Below are 12,038 nucleotides of genomic sequence, written 5' to 3'. Positions count from 1 at the left end.
CTGCTTTGTTATCTCCAAAGCATTGTCACTTTTGTTTTTCAGCCTCACAGTAATCCTGTGAGGATAGGCAAGCAGCTGATTAACCTCTTATCACGCATGAGAAAACAGAGGCCCAGAGGGGCGTGTCAACTTGCCCAGACCTTCATAGCTGGTCAGTGGAAGAGCCAAGCCCGGAAGCCAGGCCTCCTGACTCCCAGTCCAGAGTTGGTTCAGTATTTTTCACACACAACTGTGACACTCAAATCCGTGTGGTTTCTTGTAGCACTTTCTAGTCTGTGGCATCTCAGCACTGTTGAGGATTAGACGAACAGCCAGGGGAGGAGATGATGGGGTGATGGCTGTGCTGGCATGGCCTCCCCATGGCTTTGGCTGTGGCTGGGCCCCAGTTTCCGCCACCCTAGTCATGTGGTCCGGATCTCGGGGTTCAATGTTTGTGTCCTAGCCTCTCTGCTCTGATCCTGACTCTGATGAAAGGCAAAACAGATCCTGTGCTCTTCCTCCATAAATAGCCCCAGCAAAGCAGGTAAGACAGCCATGAGAAAGCCTAGGGAGTGTTTTTGACGCAGTTGGAACCAGGGGTTACTGGTACTGAAGAGGAAATGCACTTTCTGGTTAAGAAGACTTTGGACTGTGAAACAAAGACAGAGAAAGAGAGTTCAGAACCACTTAAGAGTCTGATACAGGGCTCATTAAGAACGAAGAATGATACTGGGAAAAGCCCAGCTTGGGGGTTGAGTTCTGACCTCCAGTCTGGTTTTCATGCTGTAACCTTAAGGAAGTCATTATGCGTCTTTGGGCCCTTTTTTTTTTTTTTCTTCTCCTTTTGAGACAAAGTCTCACTCTGTCACCCAGGATAGAGTGCAGTGGCACAATCTTGGCTCACTGCAACCTCCACCTTCCGGGTTCAAGTGATTCTCCCGCTCAGCCTTCTGAGTAGCTGAGATTATAGGCATGCACCACCATGCCTGGCTAATTTTTGTATTTTTAGTAGAGATGGGGTTTCTCCATGTTGACCAGGCTGGTCTTGAACTCCTGACCTCAAGTGATCCACCTGCCTCGGCCTCCCAAAGTGCTGGGATTACAGGTGTGAGCCACTGCACCCGGCCAAAACTGTGAGGGAGGCAGGGAGCCCATCACCCTCCTGGTGGTGGCCGGTCCCCTGCCCCGTCTTTGGGCTTTAATTTCCTTCTTTGTAAAATCGCAAGGGGAAAGGAAGGAATCAAGATATCAAGTGTCCGATTTTCCCACTTTGTCCTGACTGACCTGCACATTCTGTGACAGTGTCCATACATACATTACATGAATGATCACTTGGTAAAAAAATCCAAAGAAAGTAAGTCTTTGTTATATGGGACACCCTAAAATATAGTGTTTACGAGCTCCTTCTCTCTCAGGAGCCAGCCTCCCTGGGTTCAAATCCAAGCTTGCCACTTATTAGCTATGTGACCTTGGGCAAGTTACTAAACCCCTCTGTGTTTCAGTTTCCTCATACTCAATACAAGAATAATATTTGTACCATTGCATAGGGCTGTTATGGATCAAAGAACTTAAGAGAACTATAAGGCACTTAGGATAGAGCCTGACATATGGTAAACACTCATTAAATGTGACTCATCGTTACCTAGCAAAAGCTGATACTCTCCATTCCACTTAAACGAAATTGAATGATAACTGAAGATTTCCCTTGGCTAAAATATTTAAAACTATAATTATTTCAGATATAAACTAAGAAGTATAATCATTTTGAAGGTAAATCTTTCTAAAACACACCATAAAATGTCTTTTGTTTTGTTTTTTGAGACAGAGTCTGGCTCTGTTGCCCAAGCTAGAGTGCAGTGGTGCAATCTCAGCTCACTGCAACCTCTGCCTCCCGGGTTCAAGCGATCCTCCTACCTCAGCCTCCCAAGTAGCTGGGACTACAGATGCATGGCTGGCTAATTTTTGTATTTGTTATTAGAGACGGGGTTTTGCCATGTTGGCCAGGCTCGTCTGGAGCTCCTGACCTCAGGTGATCCGCCCACCTCAGCCTCCCAAAGTGCTGGGATTACAGGCATGAGCCACCAGGCTCAGCCTAAACAGTATCTATAAATTATTATTCTTTTCCTCCTCCCCTGACTTAGGCTCAACAAGAATGGGAGCCCCCTGAAGGCAGAGGTCTCTATCTCTACCTTTCCAGTTGGCAGGAGTACCTGGCACAAAATGAGTACCAATACGCTTTTGCTTAGGAAATGAAGGGAGGACAGTCACAGGCATTAGGCTCTAGGATGCTTTATGGAGATGACACTCTTGGAGGTTGATAGGGGATATTGAGCTAAAGGACCCAGACAAGGGTCCTTTAGTGCCTGAGTTTTAAAGTTTTCTCACCTCTGTCTTTCCAACTACCATTATGACCACAGTTGTCCTCTTAAATCCTGCCTTTGAAATCCTGGGCCTGCTTAGAGCAAGGTCTCCCCTTGGGGACCGCCACAACCGACTGCCATGGTGCAGGCAAACAGAGGCCAGATCATCAGAACAGCTGCCCTTGGTGACTGCTTATTCCTTCACACACACTATGGCATCTACCGTTCACACACAAATGTGTGCGATTGAAATCATTATATTCCCATTTTACAGATTAAAACAAAACAAGGCTTAATGTGGTTAAGTGACTTCTATGCCACCAGTAAGTGGAAAAGCTGAATACTAAAATCACAGTTGGCCTGGCACAGGGGCTCATGCCTGTAATCCCAGCACTTTGGGAGGCTGAGGCAGGCAGATCGCTTGAGCTCAGAACTTCAAGACCAGACTGGGCAACATGGCGAAATGCTGTCTCCACAAAAAATACAAAAATTAGCAGGGCATGGTGGCGCACACCTGTAGTCTCAGTCACTTGGGAGACTGAATGGGAAGATCCCTTGAGCCCAGGAGGTCGAGGCTGCAGTGAGTCATGATCCCGCCACTGCACTCCTGGGTGACAGGGGAGACCCTGTCTCAAAATAAAATAAAATAAAATAAAATCACAGCTTGAATAGCTTGTTCAAAACCTGGCCACCAATTGAAGTGGCCAGGTGTGAGGACAAAAGGCTGGGCAGTGGTGGGGTGGATAGGAATCAGGAAAATGGAAGATGAGGAGTACAGGGCAGGCCATTTGAAGGTGACCTAGAACAATTTCACAGACGGCATAGGCACCAACAGCAGCTTTGTATGGGATAACCAATAGGGGGATGAGTCAAGATCACTTAAAGGGTGGAATGAGGAGCCTGCCTCCAGAAGCTTCCATCTCCTTTTGGATTCACCATGGCCTAGTAATCTGGCAGCCAAATGTGTTAGAACTATATGTAAACAAAGAGTAAAAAGGCTAGGCAGGGCTGGGTATGGTGGCTCACACCTGTAATCCCAGCACTTTGGGAGGCTGAGGCAGGTGGATTACCTGAGGTCAGGAGTTCAAGACCAGCCTGGCCAACATGGTGAAACTCTGTCCTTATTAAAAATACAAAAATTAGCTGGGCGTGGTGGCAGGCACCTGTAATCCCAGCTACTCCAGAGGCTGAGGCAGGAGAATTGCTTGAACTCAGGAGGCAGAGGTTGTGGTGAGCTGAGATCGCACCAGTGCATTCCAGCCTGGGCGACAAGAGTGAGACTCCATCAACAAATAAAAATAAAAATAAAGGCTAGACAGAATCTATTTTTTAAGTGCCCATACTCTGACACCACTTTGAAAGGCTCAAAGAACTTCCTAGTTTAGTTCTTGGTCTTCAGATTTGTTTTGTTAGGAAAGCTCTCATAAGTAGATGGTTGTTTTTATTTTTTAAAATGCATTATGGCGATACATAATTATCTCTTGCTTTGATGAAGGCAATTCAGGCCCTCTAGTGCCCGCTGTGCCCAGGATCTTAAAGATAAAGAGTAGCAGATCATAGGATTGTAGTGAATACATGTATGACAGTCCGTGAAGGGCTGTCAGGGAGGGGAGGGAATGGACCTGTTCTCTGTGTCTAAGAGGGCAGAGCCAGAACCAGCTCTGCTACAGAACCAGAAGAAAGCTACAGGAAGAAGTTGTTTTTTTTCTTAGTAAAGAACTTCTCAAAAATCAAGTTGTTTAAGACCAACGGGGTTGTCTTCAACAGAAATGATCTCCCTGTCAAAAGAGGCAGGCAAGCAAGCAAGCAGAGGTCGGATGAGCACTTGGCAGGGAGGCGTAACAGGGGGCTGGGGCTCAGGGTTGGCCCCACTGACCTCTGATCTAAGTCCCCTCCCATCCCAAAGGGGACTTGTCTGCCTGCAAGTGAGGGCCCTCCTTACAGTAGGAATCTGTGTCTGGTGGATTTGCCAAGCATATTCCAGTCCATGAGACCTTTATTAGTGCTCCTGCTTTGGGATGGGTCATTTCATTTCTTCAAAATTAAGATATAATTCACACACCAAAATATTCACCTTTTAAGTATACAATTCAGTGGGGTTTAGTATATTCACAAAGCTGAGCAACCATCACAACTATCTCATCCTAGAACATTTTCATCACCCCAAAGGAAACCCACACCCATTAGCTCTTACTCATTTTTCTCTCCCTCCAGCACCGGTAACCACTAACCTGTTTTCTATCTCTATGCATTTGCTAACTAAGACTGTTTCATATTAATGGAATCATACAATGAGTGACTTTTTGGGTCTGACTTCATTTACAATGTTTTTAAGGCTCATCTACATTGTAGTATGTATCAGCACTTTATTCCTTTTCTTGGCTGAATAATACTCCAGTGTGTGTATACTCCATTTTCTTTATCCACTTATCTATTGATTGACATTTTATTTTGACTTGGCTATCATGAATAATGCTATCAACATTTGTGTAGAAGTTTTTGTTTAAACATGTTTTTAATTATCTCGGGTGTATACCTAGGAGGGGAATTGCTAAGACATAACTCTATGTTTAACTTTTTGAGGAACCACCACTGTTTTCCAAGGTGGCTGCACCACTTTACATTCCTACCAGAAATGTATGAGGGGTTCCAATTTGCCAACACTTGTTATTGTCCATATTTTTATTATAACCATCCTATAGGATATGAAGTGTTATCATTATGGTTTTAAATTTGCCATTTCCCTGATGGCTAATGATGTTGAGCACCTTTTCATATGTTTATTGATCATCTGTACATCTTCTTTGGAAAAATATCTATTCAAATCCTTTGCCAATATTTTTTGCAATTATTTAATTTTTGTGGGGATTTGGGGTTTGTTTAAGACAGGGTCTCACTCTGTTGCCCAGACTGGAGCACAATGGCCCCATCATAGCTCACTGCAGCCTTGACCTTCCAGGCTCAGGATCCTCCCACTTCAGCCTCCCAAGTAGCTGGGACCACAGGTGAGCACCACCAAGCCCACCTAATTATTTTTATTATAACTCGTAGAGATGGGGTCTCCCTATGCTGTCCAGGCTGATCTTGAACTCCTAGGCTCTAGTATCCTCTCACCTCAGCCTCCCAAAGTGCTAGGATTACAGGCATGAGCCACTGAGCCCAGCTTTTCATTTTCTTGATAGTGTCCTTTGAAGCAAAAAGTTTTTAATTTTGATGAAGTCCAATTTATCTATTTTTTTCTTTGGTTTGCTTGTGCTTTTGGGGTTGTATCTAAGAAAGCACTAAGAAAGTCCAAGGCCACAAGATTTACACCTATGTTTTTTTCTAAGAGTCTCATAGTTTCATCTCTTGCCTTTGATGCATTTTGACTTAATTTTTGTATGTAGTGCAGGGAGAAGTCCAATATATGAAATCAACCTAAATGTTCATCAACAGATGAATAGGTAAATAAAATGTGGTATATATACACAATGAGATACTATTCAGACTTTAAAAAGAAGAGAATTCTGTCATTTGTGACAACATAGATGAACCTGGAGGACATTATGCTAAGTGAAATAAGCCAGGCACAGACACAAATACCACATGTTCTCATTTATATGTAGACTCTAACAAAGTCAAACAACTAATCATGGTGGCTCATGCCTGTAATCCCAGCACTTTGCGGGGACAAGGTAGGAGGATTGCTTGAGACTACAAATTCAAGAGCAGCCTGGGCAACATAGGGAGACCACGTCTCAATTAATTAATTAATTAAAGTAAAAAAATAACAAAAAAGTCAAACTCATAGAAGCAGAGAATAGAATAGTGGCTACCAAGGGCTGGCACTCAGGGGTTGGGGAAGAGATTGAGGAAATATTGGTCAAAGGATACAAACTTTCAGTAGACAGTGGGATTAAGTTCAGAAGATCATTGTAGAACACAGTGACTACACTGTATTCTATACTTGAAAATTGCTGACAGGCCAGGCACAATATCTCACGCCTGTAATCCCAGCACTTTGGGAGGCAGAGATGGATGGAGTCACCTGGGGTCAGGGGTTTAAGACCAGCCTGGCCAATGTGGTGAAACCCCCATCTCTACTAAAAATACAAAAATTAGCTGGGCATGGTGGCACACACCTGTAATCCCAGCTACTCAGGAGGCTGAGGCAGGGGAATTGCTAGAACCCAGGAAGTGAGGCGGAGGTTGCAGTGAGCCGAGATCACACCACCGCACTCCAGCCTGGGCAACGAAGCGAGACTCCATCTCAAAAAAAAAAAGAAAGAAAAAAAGGAAAATTGCTGACAGAGTAGATTTCAAATGTTCTCACCACAAAAATGGTAAGTATGTGATGTAATAAATATGTTTGTTAGATTAGCCATCCCACAATGTACATCAAAATATGATGTACAACATAAATACAATTTTGTTAATTAAAAGTAAATTAATTTTAAAAATCAATTGAGCATAGATGTTTATTTCTGGACTCTCACTTCTAGTCCATTGATCTATATGTCTATCCTTATGCCAGTATCAAACAGTCTTAATTACTGTAGTTTTGTGGTAAGTTTTAAAATTAAGAAATGTGGTTTCTCCAACATTTTTTTTTCTTCAAGATTGTGTTGGCTATTTTGAGCTTCTTGCATTTCCATATGAATTTTAGGATTAGCTTGTCAATTTCTCAAAAAAAGCCAGCTGAGATTTTGAGATAAGTTGCATTGAATCTATAGCTCACTTTGGGTAGTATTGCCATCTTAGCAATATTAAGTTTTCCAATCCATGAGCATGGGATGTCTTTCCATTTACTTAGGTTTTCTTTAATTTCTTTCGTGATTTTTTATAGGTTTTAGTTTACTAGTTTTGCACCTTTTTTGTTACATTTACTTCTAAGTGGTTTGTTCTGTGTGATGTTACAAGAAGAATATTTTCTTAAGTTCTGGATTCTTCTTTGCAAGTGTATAAAACTGCAAGTGAATTTTGTATATGGATCTTGTATCCTAAATTTTGCTGAACTCATTTATTATCTCTAAGTTTTTTTTAATGAATTTAAGTTTTTCTATGCAGACAGTCCCCAGCTTACAATGGCTCAACTTATGATTTTTTGACCTTACTATAGGTTTATTGGGACATACCCCATCATAAGTCAAGCAGCATATGTATAGTAGTTCACGTCTATTTGCATGCAAAACAGCTAGTTTTACTTTTATTCCTTTCCAATTTAGATGTACTTTATTTCTTTTTCTTGCCTGATTTCTCTGGCTAGAACCTGCAGCATAATGTTGACTAAAAGTAGCAGGAGCAGACATTCTTATCATGTTCCTGATGCTAGAAAAAAAAGCTTTCAGTCTTTCACCATTACATATTACATTAGCTGTGGGTTTTTTATACATATACTTTACCTGGTAGAGGAAGTTCCCTTCAATTTCTAGTTTCTTGAGTATCATAAAAGGGTGTTGAATTTTGTGAAATGCTTTTTTGCATCTATTGAAATGATCATATGGTTTTTATATTTTATTCTATTAATATGGTTTATTAAATAAATTGATTTTTCTATGTTGAACCAACCTCAAATTCCTGGAATAAATCTCACTCGATCATGGTGTAATCTTTTTATATGTTGTTGGATTCATTTTTCTAGTATTTTGTTGAGAATTTTTGCATCTATATTCATAAGGAATGTTGGTCTGTTGTTTTCTTGTGGTATTTGTCTGACTTGGGTATTATGTAAGTTATACAGCCAGTATCATTATAATACTGGCTTCACAGAATGAGTTGAGAAGTGTTCTCATTTTAGGGAAGAGTAGTGTCAGTTCTTCTTTAAACATCTGGAAGAATTCACCAGTGAAATCATCTTTTTTTAATGGGAAGGTTTTTTTTTAATATTCACTATCTTTTCTTGTTATACTCTGTTCAAATGTTTTAATTCTTCTTGAGTCAGTTTCAACTGTTTGTGTCTTTCTAGGAAATTTTCCATTTTAGGTTATCTAATTTTTTGGCATCAGTTTTTGTTTTTAAAAGATTACTCTGGCTGCTATATAAAGAACAGATTACAGCAGGGCAAAAGTAGACATGAAGAGACCTGTCAGGTAGTTATTGCAATGATAGTTGGAACAAGGACCATGGAAGTGTGGATTGAAAGAAGTAGACAAATTCAGGACACATTTTGGAGGGAGAATCAACAGGTCTTGAGGATGGATTAGCTGTGATAATAGGGAAAAGCAGGAAATAGAAATAATGCCTATACTTTTGTCTTGAGCAACTAAATGTTTGAGCTCTTTGGTGAAAATTGAGAGGACATGAGAAATTGGTTTGGGATGGAGAATCAAGGGTCTTCTTTATCCTTGCGAAGTTTGAGATGCCTTTTAGATTTCCAAGTGGAGCTACAAACATGGAGACATAAGTCTAAGATCAGGGAAAAGTATGGGCCAGAGATACAAATTTGGTACTGTTCAGAGGAAAGATGGTACTTAAAGCTATGGCTCTGGATAGACTGTGCAGACAGAGAAAAGAAAAAAAGGCCCAGGCGCAAGTGTTGAAATGTTTCAATAGTTCAAAGCTGAGCAGAGGAGGAGCCAGGACAAAAGGCTGAAATGGACTGGTCATCAGGTAGGAGGAAACTCAAGAAGTGTGATGTCGGAGTATACAAGAGAAAAAAAGAATTTCAGGAAGACGGGTAGTGGTTGTCCATGTCACGTTCTTCAGAAAGCCTGAGTGATAGGAGAACAGAGAAATGTCAGTTGCATCTAAGAAAAGGATAAGCCACTAAATTAGGAAAAAATGCTTTAAAATGTAATCCACAATTGTTGAATTTCAAATCTCCATCAAGTCTGTGTCTCTATGAATTGGAAAGACAAACAAGGCATTCTCCAGTAGCTCAAAGAACAGAGAACATCAAAGTGACTTGAATGATGAATCCAGATATTAGTAGGAACTCCTAAGAAAAAGAACAGAGCAAATGAGGAAATGATCATCAAAGAAAAAGTAGAAGAAAATGTCCCTGAACTGAATAAACACTGTAGCTTTCAGATGAAAAGGAATTACAGAATACCAGACAACTCATTAAATAAATGAGATGTACTATTTGATATAAACTGCTGAAATTTTCCTTCAGTTAGTCTGCCAATGTAGATTTACTAAGCTCCAGCTATGTGTTACACATAAATAGAAGAAAATTTCTATAGGCTAATCATAGCAGGAGAAAAATAAGTTATGTTTAAATGAAAAAAATAAGATTGCCACAGTTCTCTGAAATAATGAAGTCAAGAAGAAAATAATGTAACATCAAGAGTTTGAAGGGAAAAGATTGTAAACTAAAAATCTACATCCAACCATGTTGTTATTTATGTTTGTACATAAATAACAAACATAAACAAATACAACGCTCAAATAACTTTTGGGGTATAGGTAAAGCCACATTCTGAGAACAATTTTTGGGTTTAAATATTGGTTTAAATACTTTTAGCTTTTAAATAAGAAAAACATTTTTAAAAACTCAGCATTCAACTAAAAAAGATAGTTAGAGGAAATTAATTCAATCAATCCAATTAGCAGATGGTAAAGGTAAAAGCAGATATTAAGGAATTAAATACCCACACAAACACGCACATACACAGGAAGTAGAATTAGTAAACACCTCCAAGAGCAAATCCCTTGAAAAGACCAGCAATAGAGGAAAGTAACAATTATCTCTAATCACAAAAAATAGAAACACAAACAATGATGGAAGTGAGAAAGGTGATATAATCAGAGATTCTAAGGAAATGCTAAAATTTGAATTAAAATAAATAATCCTCAAAAAATATAAATTACCAAATTATTCTGAAGAAGATACAGAAAAGACAGACAAAAATAGAAAGGTCTAGAAAACTTATTTTTAAAATAAGCCCTTAAATAGGCACCAGGTCCATACAGTTTTACAGGTGAATTATTTTAAGCCTCATGCAATAGATAACTTCTGTGCTATTTAGGTGGGTCCACAGCATAAAAGTTGAAATACTCCTTAATTTGTTTTATAAATCTAACATGTCATTCATATCAAACTTGATAGTTTTTTATTCACAAAGATATACCAAGCACACTAAAAGCTAAATATTAATATCACATAAATATATTTGCAAAAATAGCATGTCAAATACTGCAAATAGAATCAATATATATTAAATTATATATTCATATAATTCATTAAACATTGCATATATTTAATATATGCAATGTATTAAAAGAATAATATATCATGATTACAAGTCTGATTCAACATTAGAAAATCTGTTATTATAATTTATTGTTTTAATAGATTAAGAAAGAAAAATATGATCATCTTGATAAAAACCCAAAAGGAATTTAATAAAAATCCTGAAAACTAAGGATATGTAATTATATCCACACCCATTTAGGAGAAAAATTCTAAGCACAGATCTTAGAAAATCAGAAGAAAGAAGAATGAAGGATACTTATCACTTCAGTGTCTAACATTGTCTTGAAGGGACTAGCTAATGTAATCAACAAAAAAGAAGAAAAAACAAACTAAGAACTTTACATTATTAATTAAACAAACTTTAGTATAATCATACAATGGAAAACTCTGTCACACATATCAGAGAAGATGTAATGTCATGGAAAAATACAATGTATATAAGAGAGACAGTGATAGATGATACAGATTATAGATATAGGCAACATATTGAGGCATATACAACAAAGTTTTGAGCGGAGAACGTTCTGGTGATGGAGACAGTGGGTTGTCCTGTTCAGCTGGCCTCTCATTCACTATTGACTAGAGTTTCAAGGGATTTCAACTAAGTAGGAAGGGGTTTGCCCAGAAAGAGAAAAATCTGACCTAATTCCTATTCTTAGGATCAAAAGGATTCTATAGTCCCCTGGTTACTGAAGGACCCCCAAGACTTCACAGAGTTGATGGAAAACAAGAGTTCCCTTAGAAAACTAATCCCTTAAAATTGTAAACCCTTTATAATTTTATAGTCATTTGAGAGGACCAAGTAATATGGGAAACGAAAATACCACCACATTAGGTTGCAGTCTAGCTGCACCACGAGCTCCAGTATGTGACCTTAGGAAAGTCTCCTTTTCTTTCTGGGCCTCCATTTCCCCATCTGTACAATGAAGGTGCACACTGTAGACAAGACCACTTCTACAAACCTACCTAGCCTAAGTTCTAAGATCTCACAGGTAAAACAAAAACTCACCTCCATCCCCTGGGATGGCTCGGGCAATGCTCCGGCCGCAGTCTAGTCCTCTGGTGTTAGATGGTGTTCTGCTTTGCCCAAAGAGGGCTGAATCCCCAGGAGCCCAACATCCATGCCTGTCCCTTCCATCTGCTGTACTGCTGGACTCTCTAGGATCTTCTTTGGCCCTGCTTCAGGGTTGACAGCAAAGTTATGCTCACAGGCTCCTGTGCTCTCCCAACATGTTGAAACTCAAGCCCATTTGGCAAGAAATTTGGCACCATTGGTGCCAAGGATGGCAGTCTGCGCACAGCCCCACTGCATGCCAGGCTTGGCCTGCAGGTTGGAACTTGCTTTTCTTCTACTCGGGGCTTGAGTCACACTGGGCAGGTACTACAGGGTCACCTGGCTTTCCATGTGGCCTGGGAGAGTTTCTGGCAAGCCTAAGCCAGCTCTTTTGGGCTGTCCTTCTCAAAGATGAGTGGCAGCCAGTGATAAAGTAGCTCCTTGCCACTGGCAGGAAGCCTTTTTACAC

At 39.9% G+C, this 12,038-nt stretch overlaps 1 annotated feature.

The window, feature by feature from the left end:
• Positions 268-447: an enhancer, noted in NCBI's record as "active region_28411". NCBI's record gives its function as "activates an Ori minimal core promoter by ATAC-STARR-seq in GM12878 lymphoblastoid cells {active_cell/tissue: GM12878}" and the evidence as "EXISTENCE:reporter gene assay evidence [ECO:0000049][PMID:35858748]".

This window comes from Homo sapiens, chromosome 9 (genome assembly GCF_000001405.40).
Source record: "Homo sapiens chromosome 9, GRCh38.p14 Primary Assembly".
Lineage (NCBI taxonomy): Eukaryota > Metazoa > Chordata > Mammalia > Primates > Hominidae > Homo > Homo sapiens.
Note: the sequence above shows the minus strand (reverse complement) of the source record. Positions and strands in the feature narration are given on the sequence as shown.